Source organism: Homo sapiens, chromosome 17, assembly GCF_000001405.40.
Source record: "Homo sapiens chromosome 17, GRCh38.p14 Primary Assembly".
Classification (NCBI taxonomy): Eukaryota; Metazoa; Chordata; class Mammalia; order Primates; family Hominidae; genus Homo; species Homo sapiens.
In genome coordinates, this window is record NC_000017.11 from 197,035 (window position 1) to 215,605 (window position 18,571).

General features: G+C 52.6%; 1 protein-coding gene and 1 long non-coding RNA gene across 5 annotated transcripts in view; both read right to left on the reverse strand.

The window, feature by feature from the left end:
- Positions 1–1,762: 1,762 nt before the first annotated feature.
- On the reverse strand, positions 1,763–3,296 carry LOC124903889 (uncharacterized). Its single transcript, XR_007065569.1, has 2 exons — positions 2,991–3,296; positions 1,763–2,533 (listed from the first exon to the last, which is right to left on the reverse strand). It is a non-coding gene; the product is annotated as an uncharacterized LOC124903889 (long non-coding RNA).
- RPH3AL (rabphilin 3A like (without C2 domains)) overlaps positions 15,355–18,571 on the reverse strand; it is a 140,419-nt gene continuing 137,202 nt past the window's right edge. For all 4 annotated transcript variants that reach the window (NM_001190413.2, NM_001190411.2, NM_001190412.2 and 1 more), the window contains one exon: positions 15,355–16,889. In NM_001190413.2, the coding sequence (NP_001177342.1) occupies positions 16,818–16,889 (72 nt within the window). In that variant the 3' untranslated portion in view covers positions 15,355–16,817. The remainder of the gene's footprint in view (positions 16,890–18,571) is intronic.

Consider the following 18,571-nt stretch of genomic DNA (forward strand, 5'->3'; position numbering starts at 1 on the left):
CCTCTGCCTCCTGGATTCAAGTGATTCTCCTCCCTCAGCCTCCCAAGTAGCTGGGACTACAGGCACCTGCCACCACACCCAGCTAATTGTATTTTTAGCAGAGATAGGGTTTCTCCATGTTGGCCAGGCTGGTCTCAAACTCCTGACCTGAAGTGATCCACCATCCCAGCCTCCCAAAGAGCTGGGATTACAGGCATGAGACACCGTGCCTGACCAGAACAAACTTTTAAATTCTTTTATGCTCAGCCTATATCCACAGATACTTACATATATACATGTGCAACACAGGATCTCTGAACACCAACTCTAGTCAGTTGAGTGTGTGCACAGTTGTGTGTGTGTAGGCTGTACACATGTGTGCACACACATGCATATGTGTACCTGAGACCACATGTGCGTTCACACACCATTCCAGATGCACACCCACACAGGTGTACACACCCTAAAAGGCACACCCACACAGGCACATACAGGTGCACACCCACACAGGCACAGGTGTACACACACACAGCTGTACACACACACAGCTGTACACACACAGCTGTACACACACTCACACAGCTGTACACACACTGAAATGACTAGAATTGGTGTTCACAGATCCTGTGTTACTCAGGGTGAGGAGAATGTCAGTGTGTATGTGTGCTCATGCGTGTGTGTGTGTACATGTGTGTGTAGTGGGAGACAGGAGTTCAGTCTTCCAGGGTCCCCTGGTGGCCCATCTGTCAGGGTCCAGATCTGAGAAATGCTCCATCAGGGGCAGACCCCTTCTCCGAAAGGCACTCTCAGCCAGGAGGGCCCCATGCCCCACCACCCTCTCTTTATGCTACCAAGTGCTTGCTGAGGTCCTTAGATAAAGTTTCAGGACCTGGAAGACGGAGCTAGGCATGATCTCTGGGGACTTCCTGGCCCCGTGTGGCCACGTCGAATCCGCTGCTTCTCTTTTCACTGGTCTGGTGCTTCCATCCCCAAAGCTCCTTTCTGCCCCGCGACTCCTCTGAGTCTACACAGACCTGCAAGGGCCTGTAGGAACCACACCTAACAAGCAACCACAAGCAGCAGCCAGTGAGCAGACACGACAGCCAGACAGCGGGACTCACCACAGGTCCACGAGCAGGTCTACTGCCATTTTACAGATGGGGAAACTGAGGCACAGCAGCCTTCTGCAGGGCCCCGTGGCTAGAGATGGACTCCAGATTCACACCCAGGCTGTATGTCTGCACAACTTGGACTGCACAACCCAGCACAGAGAACACTCGACCCCCGCTCACGCAACACAGCAGGATCCCGAGCTTGGAACCCAGGTGTTCACAAAGGGGTCCCGACTCTGGAACCCAGGCCTCCACAGCAGGATCCCGACCCTGGAACCCAGGCGTCCACAGCAGGATCCCGAGTTTGGAACCCAGGCGTTCACAGCAGGATCCCGACCCTGGAACCCAGGCGTCCACAGCAGGATCCCGAGTTTGGAACCCAGGTGTTCACAGCAGGATCCCGAGCTTGGAACCCAGGTGTTCACAGCAGGATCCCGAGCTTGGAACCCAGGTGTTCACAGCAGGATCCCGACCCTGGAACCCAGACATCCACAGCAGGATCCCAAGCTTGGAACCCAGGTGTCCACAGCAGGATCCCGAGCTTGGAACCCAGGCATTCTAGTATCCAGCCTCCAAGTCTTGGTCCTACCCTGGTGGTTTACAGAAGCCGAGAAGCTGACAGCTTTACTCACCCATGACAAAATAAGAAAAGCACAGGGCAATGTAGGAAGTTTTTCATAAAGTTAAATCCCTTTAATTTAAAAAAAAAACAGCTTTTTTGGTTGACTTTTCCCCTCTCTTTTCTAAAATAAGGGTGATCTTATCCAGTGGTTCTTATTTTATATTCTTAATTTAGCAAGATAAAAATGTGAGCAGCTGCACGCCAGCCCCCAAACTCTAGGGGAGGTTTTTCTGGTTCAGACTGTCTCAGGTTCGAGCCTCCTTAGGGCACCCCCTTTCCGTCCACCTTAGCCTGGAACTGAGACTTCTTTTTCTTTTGTATCTGTCCTTCTCAGATCTCATATTTGTATTTTCCAAAACAATCTAGTTGAAGAAATCCTATTTGGTATGTTTGAAATCTTTATGCTCCCAGCTCAAACTCTGGATTAACAACAAAACAGAGGAAAACTCTTTTTCTTATTCAGCAGTCAAACTTCAAGGCAACTTCAGCCCTGGGAACTCAGCCAGTTGCTGGGAAGTAAAGGAATCAAAGGCTTCTAAACAGTAAAAAATGTCTTTAGAGCTCGGCTCAGAGGGAGCTTTGGCCTTCCTGCAAATTAAGAATAATGATTTGGTGAGCTTGTTTATCTCCCCTCCACCAGCAAGGCTTGGTCTCCCCAGGGGTAACCGGCTGCAGATTCAAGAGGAAGCTGGGAGGGCTGTCTGGGGCTGGAGAAGGAGGCAGCTCCAACACGCCGCGGTCAGGCAGTGTGGGGACAAAGAGGTCTCCTTACTTCCACAGCACCGAGTCATCGAAGTTTACAAGACACTTCTACGTTGATCTGGAAAAAGGAGGTGTTCCTAGTACATCTTAGAAAGATTTCCATAAAACGGGCTAAAAAGCAATCATAAAACCACAACAAAACACAAACAGGCAAGGGAAAGGATAAACTTCCATCACCTGGAAGCCTCAGAGACAGGAGAGGGTACACAGGTGAGAGCCTTGGCTGGGTGGGAGGTAGGAGTCAGACCGGACCCTCTGCAGAATTAGCAGTGGTGTGCGCTCACCTCTGGAGCTGCTCCTCTGAGATGGGCCTGGCCCCCTAGATAATTGGAGGGTCCTGCATCTCATGGCAGTTTCCACCATGCCCTGCTGCAGCTCGCACCCAGAGCCCTCTGATCACGGGAGTGGGCAGCTGCCATTTACTGCTGCACCATTCTGACCATGTGCCCCACGTTATTTCATGTAGCCCTCACTACTGCTGTGTCCAGGAGGCTCAGAGAGGTCAAGTTACTTACCTAAGGTCACACAGCTGGTATGTGCCAGAGCTGGGAAGAGAACGTGCACTTGTATGACTCCGGGATGTTGGCTTTCTGCCTTGACGCCCCAGCCTCTTCAGCTGTGGCTGGTGGCAGGTCCTGGGCCTCTAGCGAGGACGTGCCTGGCTGTGGGCCCAGCCTGGGATTGACCTCACACCCTCTCTCACACCTGGGGCTTCACTGACAGCGGCGGGCACAGTGCCTTCCTTTCTCTTTCCCTAGACACCAGCTCTGACCCTCCAATTTCCACCATGATCACAGTGTTCTCAGAGTCAGGCAGCATATGAGGAAAATTGCCCTTTCCCTGGAATAATTTACCATCTTGTAATTTCCATTACCTGACCCTGTTGGAGCCTATTCCGTGCTGAGCTGTTTGAATTTCCAGCTTGGAAATCCCCAGGCTGGGCGGGAAATGCTGTTTCCTGAGGGAGGAGCAGACGAGGGAGGTGCTGCCTGCAGGCTTGGCGGAGGGTCAGGGGGTGTTTGGGACAGGGACACAGTGGGGAGGGGGCTGAGAACAGCAACCAGGCAGCATTTGTGATTCTTCTGAATCCAGAGGGGCTTGTGTGATGAAATTCCACAGGGCTCTGCCAGGCTGATACGTGGGAAGGGTGGCAGAGGGCTACTGCGACCTACAGGCAGGGGGTGGTCCTAGGCAGGCAAAGGCATTGGTAGGAATGCAGAGAGGGCTACAGAAAGCAAGGGGACTCCTGGGCCAGGCCCTGGACCGGGGCACAGAGTAAGGCTGTTGAGGGTGTTGATTTCAGTTTTTGACAAGTCGAGGATCCTCCGGATACCACGTGACAACACACAGCTTAAGAGCACGGGCCTTGGGCTCAAATCCTCGCTCTGTCACTCGCTGGCAGTGTGGTCCTGTGCAAGTTGACGGACTTCTCTCAGCCTCAGTTTCCTCCTCTGTGAAGTGGAGGGAATGGTGTCCACCCCCCATTATTCCTTTAATGTGAGCGCTAACTCAGGGCAAGTGTGTAAAGACCCAGTCTGGCCTCCAGCTGGGGTCCATCTGACCCAGGTGGTGGCTGTTTACAGGGATCAACTCTCCCCAGTTTGCTGGGAACTTTCCTGGTTTTAGCCCTGAAAGTCCCGCATCTTGTGAAACCCGTTGGTCCTGGAAAACCTGGATGGTTGCTCACTCTGCCTGTGGTCTCCCGCTCCTCATTGCACTAAAAGTGCCAGGTCATGTCTGTGTCCTGGGGAAGGCCGAAGCCCTTGCTAAGGTTTCTGTAATATCACCTGTGGCTCTGAGGCCTGCTTTGGCTGAGTTAATTCGGTGTTGAGGTCGGTACGTGTGCTTGCACACGTTTCTGAACCACAGAGACTCAGATGTGACATTCAGCCCCCATTCCCCCCAGATCCACAGGCACAAAGCATCTGGGTGTCAGAGACACCGCAGACGTTTGGGGTGGGATGGGGGCGCTGAGATCACCGTAGTGCAATCCACAGGCACAAAGCATCTGGGTGTCAGAGACACCGCAGACGTCTGGGGTGGGATGGGGGCGCTGAGATCACCGTAGTGCAATCCACAGGCACAAGGCACCTGGGTGTGGGAGACACCGCAGACGTCTGGGGTGGGATGGGGGCGCTGAGATCACCGTAGTGCAATCCACAGGCACAAGGCACCTGGGTGTGGGAGACACCGCAGACGTCTGGGGTGGGATGGGGGCGCTGAGATCACCGTAGTGCAATCCACAGGCACAAGGCACCTGGGTGTGGGAGACACCGCAGACGTCTGGGGTGGGATGGGGGCGCTGAGATCACCGTAGTGCAATCCACAGGCACAAGGCACCTGGGTGTGGGAGACACCGCAGACGTTTGGGGTGGGATGGGGGCGCTGAGATCACTGTAGTGCAAACAGCATCAAATGGAACATGACACACAACTCCTTTGGCCGCCCCCTGAAAGTGTGGGGGATGCAGGGGTGGAAGGGAGCTTCACTCAGGGACCTCCTGCCTCAACCCCTCACTCTGACCTCTGCTCTTTCCTCTAAATTTTGTTCGTTTCTAACGTCTCTTTTGTGGCCTTGGCCCCGGGTTGAAATGTGCCCTTTAAAAGCATTTTTCCTAAACGAAGACAATTCCTCTCCAAGAGGAGCTGTTCCCTCCCCAGCTGTTCAGAAAATCCAGGTGTGTTTCCACCTGCAACAATGCCGAGCTGTCAGCTTAGACTTGGAAGGCGCTAAGAGCTGGGGAAGGCCACATTTGGGGTCTGGTTCCAGGCCTTGCGGGTCACCATCCCTGGCTGTATTAGTCCTTTCCTGCACTGCTATAAAGTACCCAAGGCTGGGTAATTGATAAAGAAAAGCAAAGTAATGGGCTCACGGTTCCTCAGGCTGTACAGGAAGCTTGATGCTGGCATGTGCTCAGCTTCTGAGGAGGCCTCAAGAAACTTACAATCATGGCAGAAGGCTAAGGGGGAGCAGGCATGCCACACGGTCAGCGCAGCAGCAAGAGAGTGAGGCGGGAGGTGCTACCCACTTGTAAATGGCCGAGCTCGTGAGGACTCACCAAGGCGGACGGTGCTCAACCAGTCATGGGAAAACCGCCCCCGTGATCTAGTCGCTTCCCACCAGGCGCCACCTCCAACGCTGAGGGTTACAATTCGACATGACACGCGGGGGGGACACAGATCCAAACCACGTCATCAGCTCTTTCAGAGGGAGATGGCTCTGGACCCCACTTTAGAGTCTGGCTGATTTGCTCTCCCAGGTGCGCCTGGCACAGCTCTCAGGTTCTGCAGGAGCCGCTGGGCTTGGACGAAGGGCCCTCCCGCAGTGTGAGGAGCCTGGCGACCTGGCCCGGTCTCACCCCACAGCCTAGGGCAGAGATGCCACAAAGTCACAGACTTTCAGGGCCAAGAGACCCTGGAGTGCGTCTGACTCGGCCTCGTGTTTCACAGGGAATCTGAGGCCCGCACTGGCCAAGTGACCTGTCTGTACTTACACACTCTGGAGGCAGCAGAGTGGAGGAGAGTGGTGCTATGGCCTGAGTGATTTATTTTAGAATACAGTCATGCATTGTATAACGAAGTTTGTCAATGACAGGCTGTATATCCAGCGGTGGTCCCATAAGACTACAAAGCAGCTGAAAATTCCCGTTGCCTAGTGAGGTTGCGGCGTGTAATGTCACAGTGCAACACGTTATCACTCGTTTGTGGTGATGCTGGTGTGAACACACCTATTACACTGCCAGTCACATACGAGTGGACAGTAATGCCCTGGGCCCTCACACTCACCACACACTGACTCTCCCACAGCGACTCCAGTCCCGCAAGCTCCATTCACGGGAAGTGCTCTATACACCTGTGTCATTTTAAAACATCTTTTATACCGTATTTTTACTGTACCCTTTCTATGATTAGCTACACACATAATTCCACGGTGTCGCAGTTGCTACATGCTGCACAGGTTTGTAGCCCAGGAGCCCAGGCTCTCCCACATAGCCTAGGTGTGCTGTAGGTTCTGCCACTTAGATTTACGTCCGTGCTCTCTATGATGTCTGCACAATGATGAAATTGCCTGACAACACATCTCTTGGAAGTATCCCTGTCGTATCCTGGTTGTTAGGTGACACATGCCTGTACTTCTGTGTGAATGAGTTTGAGTAAGATCTCATCTGCACACACATTAAGGGCTGGCTAGCCTTATTAGCATAAGGAATGTGGCAGTGGGTTTTCTTTCATTTATTTACTGTTTTTGAATAGGGTCTTGTTTTGTTACCCAGGCTGAGTGCAGTGGCGAGATCATGGCTCACTACAGCCTCCAACTTCTGTGCTCAAGCAATCCTCCTGCCTCAGCCTCCCAAGTAGCTGGGACTACAGCTATAGTGATTTTGATAGGGGGGGAATTTGTTGGGGGTCACTGAGGCGGGCTGGGGCACACAGACCAGGGCTCCCCACGAGGGCCTCTGAGGCACACAGACCAGGGCTCCACACAAGGGCCCTCTGAGGTACGCAGACCAGGCTGAGGCACAGAGACCAGGGCTCAAGAGCTGCTCTGCCCAGGATTCCTGTGGCTGCTGTGAACTGAGTGCTCCTGGCCGAGGACCCACAGCTTCTGGGAAGTGTAGGTTGGGGCTCCTGATCTGCTGGCCCCTCCCTAGGGATGCAGAGCACACAGGCCCTGGGCCTGGAGTGTTTCCATCCATCCACACATCCTTCTTCCCATCAGGACACTGGTCCATCCTCTGTTCATCTGTCCATCCTCTCAGATGTCCTTCAGCACATTGGTCCATGCAGAATATCTATGCACCTGTCTCTCCATCCATCTGTCCAATGCTCCATCAGTCTGTCCATCATCCATCCTCCCATCTGTCCTCCACCCACCCACCCCCACCATCCCCCACCCAATCATCATCCATCCAACTACCCCCTATGCCCCCACTCACCCTTCCCCCACCCAGCCATCCGTTAACCCCTCCCCCACCCATCCTTCCCCCACCCATTCCCCACTCAACTATCGCCCTACCCATCCCCCACTCCTCCACCCACTCACCCATCCATCTCCTCACCCATCCCTCACTCATCCAGACCTCCATCCATCTCCTCACTCACCTGCCATCCACCCATCCCCCAACCATCCTCACCCCTCCACCACCCACTGACCCATCCCCTACCCCTCCATCTACCCATGCATCCATGCATCCATTGATCCAGCAATATTTCTTGACAGCTAACTAGGGACCCAAAGGTGAATAAGCCTTGACTTCTGCCTTCAGGAGCCGGGCTCTAGGGAACCCAGCCTTGCCATGCCACGTCTGGAAGCAGAGCCTGGGAAGAAGGTGCAGCGACTGATCTGGGCAGGCCCCTGCTGTGGGGGCAGGGATGACAGGGCCCAGCTTTTGGTTCCCTTTTCCCCATGAAAGAGCCTGGGCAAAGGTGGAGGCGATGGCAGTCGGGAAGGAGGGAGCAGGGAGGGAGAAGCTTCATTTGTCAGCTGCTCAGCAGGTACAGTCAGACTTAAAATGTCTCCAAAGAGCAGCCGCTGAGAGGCAGGGGGTGAGCACGCTGAATTATTTTCTGGTAATTGGCACTGAAGAAGCTGCAGACATCCTGAGGTCTGCATCAAAGGCTCAGAGCTTCGGCCGTCTTGGTGGAGACTGGGGGCACCTCGTCGGGGGCTCCTAAGGATCTCTGAGCTCCTGCCTCCTCCTCCTCCTGCCTGCCTGCTCTCCTCGGTACTGTGGGGTGAGGAGAGGCACACTCTGCTTTGCTTTCTGCACAAGACAGCCCCGGGGTGGGGCCGGGCGCTGCGGGTCAGAGCCCTGACCGTTTGCAGAGGAAAGGAAAGGGACAGGAAACTGGAGCATCAAGGCCCTGCTTTGCAGGGGACACCAGGACTTAGCCATGGCAGGGGCTCTGCCAATGCTCTTCACACATGGCCTGGCGAGGTCCTTCTCCTCACATACTCCGGGCAATGCCAGTGCCAGGTTTTCCTTTGGTCTCATCCCTCCCCTGTGCAGAAGAGCATTTGCTGGCACTTGGATGAGCAATTTAAAGGCACTGGTCCTCCACATATATTTGAGACAGGGTCTTGCTCTGTCAATCAGGCTGGAGTGCAGTGGCACAGTCACAGCTCAGTGCAGCCTCAAACTCTTGGGCTCAAGTGATCCTCCCTTCTCAGCCTCCTGTGTAGCTGGTACTACAGGCATGCACCACCACGTCTGGCTATTTTTTTTTTTTTTTAATTTTTGTGGAGATGGCATCTCTCCATATTGCCCAGGCTGGTCTCGAACTCCTGGGCTCAGGTGATACTCCTGCCTTGGCCTCCCAAAGTCCTGGGATTACAGGCATGAGCCATTGCACCTGGCCTCCTACGTATTCTGTAAACAGGTGAACCTTTCTGTGTTTGTACATACTAGTGTATGCACACGTGTGTGTGCGTCTGTGTGCCGTCCATCTCCCCTGGCGAGGGCCCCTTCTGCCTAGTACCTCCAACAGCTGGACCCTCCAGCTGGTCACCTTATGTAGGAGGCTTCTCTCCCCCATGGGCGGAGTGCAGGGCAGGGTGGCCTGGGGTGGAGGCTGCAGGCAGGCCAGTTCCCCATCCAGCCTCAGCCTCCTTCCTGCTGGGGAACCAATCATAGGGGAGGAAACTGAGCTTTTTCCTTACAGCCACCTCAGGCTCATTGGCTGGGCCCCCTGTTAAAAAAAAAAATACAAAAAAGGGGGGGGCAGATTAACCAGAGAAAAGTCTGAGCATGTATTTAGCATGTGTTACGTCACACGGAAGCTCCATGAAGAAGTGAACACCTGAAGGCACCACAGAACCCGAGTGTTTCTTACGGCAGGCAGCTCGATGGGGAAACGTGATTGGGTGAGTGTTTCTTACGGCAGCTGGAGGAAGGTAGAAGGTGGCGGGGAAACGTTATTGGACGAATGTTTCCTACGGCAGCTCGATGGGGAAACGTGATTGGGCGAGTGTTTCTTATGGCACCTCGATGGGGAAACGTGATTGGGTGAGTGTTTCTTACGGCACCTCGATGGGGAAACGTGATTGGACGAATGTTTCCTACGGCAGCTCGATGAGGAAACGTGATTGGGCGAGTGTTTCTCACGGCACCTCGATGGGGAAACATGATTGGGCGAGTGTTTCTTACGGCAGCTCGATGGGGAAACGTGATTGGGTGAGTGTTTCTTATGGCAGCTCGATGGGGAAACGTGATTGGGCGAGTGTTTCTTATGGCACCTCAATGGGGAAACGTGATTGGGCGAGTGTTTCTTACGGCACCTTGATGGGGAAACATGATTGGGCGAGTGTTTCTTACGGCAGCTCGATGGGGAAACGTGATTGGGTGAGTGTTTCTTACGGCAGCTCCATGGGGAAACGTGATTGGGCGAGTGTTTCTTACAGCACCTCGATGGGGAAACGTGATTGGGTGAGTGTTTCTTACGGCAGCTCCATGGGGAAACGTGATTAGACGAATATTTCCTACGGAAGCTCGATGAGGAAACGTGATTGGGCGAGTGTTTCTTATGGCACCTCGATGGGGAAACATGATTGGGCGAGTGTTTCTTACGGCAGCTCGAGGAAGGTAGAAGGTGGTGGGGAAACGTGATTGGGCGAAGAGAACAAGGTCAGTGGAGTGAGCGGGGACCTGAGCCAGGCATGTCGTTCCAACCCCGCTCCATGGTCTCGCGATAAGATGCTCCTTTCCTCCAGGTACCAGCAGAAAGCAGGCGTTTTCTCATGTGGGAAAGATGCCGGCCCCCGCTGTTTGGGGTGGAAATCCTCTAACCCGCTGGGCCTGTGCGCCAGGGCTGAGCAACAGCGCGGAGCCGTGCATCTGTCGGGGGCGGGACGCGGCAGCAGGGCTGTGAGGGCTGCGTTTTCTCTGCCAGCCTGATCCGCATCCCCTGCCCCTCGGTCGTCTGCCAGTGTCCGTGTATCTTTTGCCCCAGCTGGTGCGGGTTTAGGGATGTCAGCCCCAGGAGTCACAGGTGAGCTGGTTCCAATGGGAACCTCGGCATCACCTGGGAACTGAAATATGCATTGTCAGCCCCACGGCAGACCTCTGAATCAGAAACTCCGAGGTAGGATTAGTGTGTTCTGTGTTCTAACAAGTCCCTTGGGTGGTTCAGATGCAGCAGGAGGACGGGGCCATGTCCGTTTTGTCCACTACCAAACCCAGGGCCTAGAACACTGCACCTGCACCAGCATCTGCCCGATTAATGCTCGACAGAGGAATGAATGTGGATAAGCACCATTATTCCAAAGCCCCAAAGGGAGAAGCATGAAGGTTTACTGTGCCCCGGGTACCAGGCTGCCACCCTTCTCACGTTCTTATGGCATCTTGACCACTCCTGAGGCACGTGCCTCACTGAATTCTACGGGAGAAACAGCTGGTAGCTGTTGACATACTGGTCACGGTGGTGGGAGCTGTACTGGGGCCCTCATGTTTTAAATTTCCAGTCATCCTGGGACGGAAGTGTTATCCCCATTTCACAGATGAGAAACAGAGGCACAGAGAAGCACCCATACTTTCAGGCACTAAGTAGCAGATCTGGGATTTGAAACCAGGGTCCAAAGTTCATGAGCTCTCCACTTGCGGCCTCTTCTAGGAACCACTTGGGTTATCTGGTATTTGGGACAAATCCAGTCCCTTCCGTATGCCCTGATTTTTACGGATGTCACAGAACACCTTCCACCTTCTACCAGGAAAGGCTCAGTTCTGAAAGCTAACTTGTAAGTTGGTTGCTTGGGACTAAGAAAGCAGTTTCATAAAGAAAGGATTTCTTGGTTCCCAGACCAGCCCACAAAGAACCCTTGACTCCAAGGCAGCCGCAGGCTCCCGTGAGGGATCTGCAGCCCACCTCAGCTCTGAAGCTGACACTTCCACGATGACGTCGTCTTAATGAATGCCTTCTAGGAAATGCATTTGGAATCCACCCTGGGGCTGCAGGGACTGGGTCTGGCCCAGTCATGGGGTTCTGGTGGGGGCTGAGTGTGGGGGCTCATCTGCATCAGGTCTGAGAGGGCTTTGGTCCTACAGAGGCGTGGGTAGCGCACCTGCAGCTTAGAACTGCGGGCAGAGGCCCGAGCCACTCCCAGGCTGGTGTTCCCAGGTCGGGTGTGGACCTAGGGACTGTGGGGCAGCCCACAGGCTGTCTTTTCTCTGCCAGGCAGGTGTTTACTCACTCATCTGCTATGGCCCTGGGCTCACTGCCGCCGCCCCCCGCCCTGTGGGTTTGTCAGCAGTTTGATGTGTATTTTTCCATAAAAATTCATTGTTATACATGAAATATAGTAGGTTTTAAAAGGGTAACTGTCCTACAAAGTTTATAACATAAAGCAGGAATCCCCTGCTCACCTCGAGACACCTTAGAACTCTTTTAGTTCCTTGGTATCTAAAACCTCATGCGGATTCTATGTCTTGATTTTGTAATTTTATACAGCATTATGTACTATAAAATATCACGATGTAGCTCTCACTTACGATCTCCCTGAGACACATATGCTTCTTGTATATCCTTGTGCACCTCCTCTGTCCTCATCTGGGCTGGCTGGACCAGCCACCCAGCTCCACCATCACCCTGAGGATTCTCTCCTGTGTGAGGGCTCCAGTTTCTTGTGCCCATTTTCTCTTGGTTTTCTCCCTTGTTTGGTTGGAGCACATCCTACAGTAGCTGCCCGAGAAAGAGGGCAAGGGAGGTGATATTTTTCAAGAACTCACATGTCTGAACATATCTTCATTCTAACTTCACACTGCACGAAGTTCTAGCTGGATAGAAAAGTCAACTTAGAAATTGTTTGCCCTCAGAATTCAGAAGCTCTTGCTTCTCTGTGCTCGGACTTCAAAATTTGCTTTGAGAATTTCAGCGCCATTTAAATTCCTGATCCTTTGTATGTGACTTTTTTTTTCTCTCTTTGGAAGGCTTTGGGATATTTTCTGATTATCCTGGTGTCCTGAAATTTCATAAGAATGTTTGGTGTAGTTCCTTAATTTACTTTAAAATATTTCTGACATATAAAAAATAAAAATCTAGGCCAGACGCAGTGGGTCACGCCTGTAATCCCAGCACTTTGGGAGGCTGAGACAGATGGACCACAAGGTCAGAAGTTAGAGACCATCCTGGCCAACACGGTGAAACCCCGTCTCTACTAAAATACAAAAAATTAGCTGGGCATGGTGGCACATGCTCGGGAGGCTGAGACAGGAGAATTGCTTGAACCCAGGAGGCGGAGGTTGCAGTGACCTGAGATCGCGCCACTGCACTCCAGCCTGGGCGACAGAGCAGGACTCCATCTCAAAAAAATAATAATAATACAAATCTATAATAAACATATAAATATACAATATGAAGTAAAATATAAATATTACAAACCCATCTACCTATCACTGAGCTTAATAAAACATTAAGATTCCTCTTTAATTGTATTTCTCCTCTTCCCAAGATGTGTCCTGAGTCTGTTGTTTTGTTATCCTTCCTGTTTCTGAATTCTCTTGCTGCATAAAATATATTTTAATATATAACATTCTTGCATGTTTGTGAAATCTCTATATAGATGGTGTCACGTATTTTTCTGCCACCTGTCTCTTTGTCAGCATTATTGGTGAGATACACATACTCTGAGGGTGGTGACTCAATTTCACCACTGCATAATATTCTATTGTTTGCATATATCACAATTTATGTACCTATTCTTCTGTTGAAGGCTTTTTTGGTTGCTTCTAAATTTGAGCTGTAAATATTCAGTGCATGTCTCCTGGAGCCCATGTAGATGAGTTTCTGGAGGGAAATGGTCCTGAGGCCTCCCAGCACATTGGAGTCATCTGGAGAGCTTCACAAATCCCGATGCCAGCCAAGGATACATCCAAAATCGATTAAACCAAAATCTCTAGTGGTGGGTCTGCCAGGAGTACTTTTAAAGCTCCCCAGGTGATTCCAGTGAGCAGCCAAGGGGAACAACCACTGCCCTAGACCAATGCTACTCAAGGAGTGTCCCTTCAACCATGTGTCACCTGCCAGCATGTTAGATGTGCACACTGGGGTCCCGCCCCAGAGCTGGCGAGTGAGCATGTGTGTTTCAGGAGGACCTCAGGGATGGCTGCAGGCAGCGCCCACCTTCGTCTACTGGGCATCACCAAACTGCTGCTCGGGATGGTGGAGGGGCCACACGGGTGTGGAGGCTTCACGTCCCTCTGCCGGTCACTTACAGGCTTTCTCTATGGAAGCCCATTCCCTTCAGTCCTGGGAAATATTCTTGTGTCATTTCTTCAACAATCTCCTCTCCTCTGTTTTCTGTTTCTTGGGTTGAAATTCCTATTTGATGGAGGCTGGATCTTCTGTGTTGAGCTGATCTTGTTGTTGTTCAATGTTCTTGACTTTTTCCTCTTTTGCTTTTATGCATTTTACTTTCTGGGAGATTTTCTCTCCTCTTCCATCCCTTCTCATGCATTTTAAATTCCTGCTATTATATTTTTAATGTTCAAGAACTTCAACACTGCCTTTAAAAAAATAAAATTCTTTTCTCATTTCATAGGTGTAATACTTCAGGGGATTTTCCTCTCCTTTTTTCTGTGTACTGGAGTCTCTATTTTCAGTTATTGGATTTCATCAAACGTTGGGTGCCCTTGGCTGTCCCCACTCTGAGTGAAACACAGCAAAGCTAATAGGCAGCACTGAACATGTGGGTGAGGCTTGTGGACTGGAGGTCTCACAGTGGACTGGGCAGAGACCCACTGTTTGGGGAACCCCCAGTGTCAGGATCTGTCCATCTGTTCTCTTTGATCAGTTTCCCAGAGAGAAATTCAATAATGTCCTGCCAGCCAGGTGCAGAGGCTCATGCCTGTAATCCCAGCACTGTGGGAGGCTGAGGCGGGTGGATCACAAGGTCAGGAGTTCAAGACCGGCCTGACCAACATGGAGAAACCCCATCTCTACTAAAAATACAGAATTAGCTGGGCGTGGTGGCATATGCCTATAATCCCAGCTACTCACTTGAGGCTGAGGCAGGAGAATCACTTGCACCTGGGAGGCGGAGGTTGCGGTGAGCCGAGATCATACCATTGCACTTCAGCCTGGGTGACAAGAGCGAAACTCCGTCTCAAAATAATAATAATAAATGTCCTGCCTTGGGGGTGGATGGATGGGGACTAGGCCTGGCTTTTATCAGCCTCCATCAGGGATTTTAAAGGGGAATGAGGGCGTCCCCATTTACATCCTGATTTCAGGAAGGCACCTTGCCCCAGCCTTTGGCTACCCTTGGGGTCCCCAATCCAGAATCTTTTCAGATCACCATTGGCCGGCAGTAAACCTGTCTCCTGCCATGGTCAGAGAAGGGCAGTCACCAGGCCGGGAGAGGGGACCTGAGGGTGTAAACACTTCTTTCAATCAAGACAATTCTCAGACCCACCCTGAACTTCCACCTTTGGGACACCTGGCCCCTCCAAGTTCTGTGCATTTGGGGGATTCTGCAAAGCAAATGGGCTTGTTCATGCTTGGCTTCCTTCTTTGTAGACATTTTGAGGCTGACACTAAGCAAATCATACTGTTCCAGCTTCCAAAGCTCTTCAGATATTTGTCATTCACTGCCATCTTCTCTCCTGTTCTTTTTGTCTTTGTGCTTTATGCCATTTTCATTCCTTTACGTCATTCTAGTGGGGTTTTGAGGGACAGAGGAAAATATGAATATATTCAGTGCACCATATATAACCAGAAGTCCTTGTGCATTTAAAAGACATTTTTGCATACATACGTATGTGTTTGCAGAACTCATTCTGATTATTTGTGTGTACTTTTGTATGTAGATGGCCTTGCTTATCCGTTCAGCATCAGGTGTGTGAGCTGCATGAACACACACAGATCTAGCCCCTCCTTTCACTGCGGCTTAGGAAGGGTTCCAGCAAGTCAACGCACCACAGTTTTTTCCATTTTTCCATGGACGCATCTCAGAAACACAGGCAATCGTGGTCTTCGATCAACACACTGGCTCGGTGCAAATTTTAATCTTCATTGTTTTAATTCTGAAGCATAACGTGCCACAGGGAAAGTGAGTTTCTTTACTGTTTGCCAGCAGCAAGGACAAAAAGTGAATGGTGGGGGCCCAGGAGCTCCCAGCTTGGAGAGAAGGCCCTTCCAGACCCAGGAACCCGGGGTTTGGGGCAGGAGGCAGGAAGGATGGGAGGGTGTGATCACCGACACACACACACACGTTCTCTCTCTTCAGGGAAGGGTTTTCCAGAAGCATTTGCCCATACTCTGAATGAAGTATTTTCATGCCAAGCCAAACCTCCTGAAGAGAAGTGAATTCATGGCTGAGGGAGCCACGTGCCCTGGCTGGGGATGCACCTGAACGCTGCTCTTCAGCAAGTGAGTTCATAGCATCCACCAGAGCTTCCCAGCTCCTCAAGCTGAAGACAGGCTGAGCAAAAACCAGGCAGGCCATGAGGGGATTCAAAGAAACCTAATAGGATTGGGTGCGGTGGCTCACACCTGTAATCCCAGCACTTTGGGAGGCCGAGGCGGGCAGATCACTTGAGACCAGGAGTTCAAGACCAGCCTGGCCAACATGGAGAAACCCCATCTCTTCTAAAAATACAAAAATTAACTGGGTGTGGTGGCGGGCATCTGTAATCCCACCTACTCAGGAGGCTGAGGTGAGAGAATCGCTTGAGCCCGGGAGGTGGAGGTTGCAGTGAGCCGCGATCGTGCCACTGCACCCCAGCCTGGGCAACAAAGCGAGACTGTGTCAAAAACAAACAAACATACAAAAACCAAAGAAACTAAACAGACCCAGGTTTCACCCACGGTCCTGGGCCAGCCCATGGGAGGGGGGCACTGCGCCTGCCTCCCAGAGCTGAAGGGAGAGGGAGAGGGTGGGTGAGTCTCCCCCTCACTGCTCTGGCTCTGATGCTCACCTCTAAGGGGCCACACGCAGCTTCGGAGGCCGTGCCCTAGGTTTCATTTAGTCTTGCCATTAATATAGCAACGGAGATAGCCCCACCGGGCGGCCCCTCTGACACTGCATGTGGGAAACCCCCCAGCCCAACCCAAGACACGCGCAAACTTAAAATCATCACCAGGTAGATTGGGGGTGTGGGAGGGGAGGGTAATAAATAAGGTCGGGGGCTGAGGGCAGTGGTTGGAGGGGGTGGCGGATGCAGACAGCTCCCCAGGAGAGAAGGGGTGCAGAAAGGCACTGAGCTGGGGAGGCAGACGGCTCCCAACACTGGTTTGTTGAGTCATGGCCAACAGGGTGTCTGGTGAGGGCACAAGGACCGGTCAGGGAGGAGCCGGGCAGGGTCTGGCAGGAATCCTCCACAGGGAAGTCTGTTCCAGGCACCAGACACCTCAGCCCAGGCAGCTGGAGGGGCCTGCTGGAGCTGCGTCAGCAGCGGGGGCTCGTCCAGGTGTGTCTTTTACCTTTGGATGAGAGAAAAGGCCACCACATGGTGAGCAGCGGTGGAGTCCCTCCCTCCCCGGTGACAGCTCGGCCTTTGGGAATGAGATGGAGGAGCTGGTGGGGAAGGCAGGCTTCTGCTGACAGCATCCGTGCCTCAGCCCGAGCTCGAGACCAGCACCGCTCTGCTCTGCTGTGTGATGGCAGGAAAGTCACCTGCCCCTCTGGGCTTCAGGCCCTCCTCCTAACCCAGGTGATCAACATGGCGACCTCAGGATGCCGGAAGGAGCAAATGGGCACGGAAAGAGAACACCCTCCTTTAAGCCAATCTTTCCCCAGGTTGTTTCTTAAGCCCAGGAACCCTCTCTGCACTGGGCCACACAGCTTCCCCCTTTATCACTGGACATTTACTGAGGACCTCCTAGGGGAAGGCAGTCCATGTGACACTGGATTTTGTCTCCCCGGAACCCTGTGAAGGACACCGTACCGATAATAGAACTGGGCACAGAGAGATCAAATATAAGGGTGAACCATATTGAACTGCCGATATTTCACTGTTTTTGAACCACAAAAATGCAATTTCAATTGGGCGCAGTGGCTCTTGCCTGTAATCCCAACACTTTGGGAGGCCAAGGTGGGAGGACTGTTTCAGCCCAGGAGTTCGAGACCAGCCTGGGCAACATAGGGAGACCCCGTCCCTTTGAAAAATACAAAAAATAATTAGCCGGGCATGGTGGCACTTGCCTATAGTCCTAGCTACTTGGCAGGCTGAGGCAGGAGGACCACTGGAGCCCAGGAGGTCGAGGCTGCAGTGAACGGTGATCACACCAGTGCACTCCAGCCCGGGCAACAGCATGAGATCCTGTCTCAAAAAAAAAAAAAAGCAATTTCATATGGTTCAACCTGGGGGTCTGCTCAAGGTCACATGGCTGTGGGTGGCAGGGCTGGGACAAGAACTCGGGGCTGCCGGATTCCACACTGTCCTCTGTGGAGGACCTCCAGGAGGCTAGAGGGAGGGGGCAGGGTCCACTCCACAGCCAAAGATGCCTCCCGGATGCTCTGCAGCTCCTGGGAGCCATCGAGTGGGGAAGGAGAGAGGTGCGGCAGGCGTTCCTGTGGGTGGCTGCCGGGTGCCCTCCACACCCCGGGGACGGAGATCAGCTGCTGCCCTGGTGCATGCGTGTACCCATGAATCCTCTGGCCAGGGAGGGGCCCAACCTGCCCAGGGCTTCTTTCTTGAAGGAGACAGGGCTGATCCTGCACCTGCGCAGTTTTCTCTGGCTTCAGTTTAAGGAGAACCCTCACCCCCGCCACAGGATGATCCTGGGCCAACCAGGGCTGGGCCCAGCAGGTGCAGGGCAGGGTGGGAGCCCAGGATTCTCCCCTCACTCTCTCTCTGTGCCTTGGTTTCTACACCCATCAAATGGGACAATAAGCCTCCCAGCCACTCTGCCAAGAGAATGAAAGTTCGCCCCAGGGGAGCCCGACACGTTTTATGTAGCAGAGGATGGTAACCACTGCTGTGATTACCGAGAGTGGCTAGGGATGGCTACCATTATCATTCTGGGTCCCTCTCTCTGTTCCTTGCAGGCAGGGATGGGGTCTGGCTCACCTTGTTCCCCCGCACAGTGCTTGGTAAACAACATGCAGAATTGAAAACGTCACCGACCAGTCTCCAGTTTGGGAGGAGTGAGTGAGAGAGGAC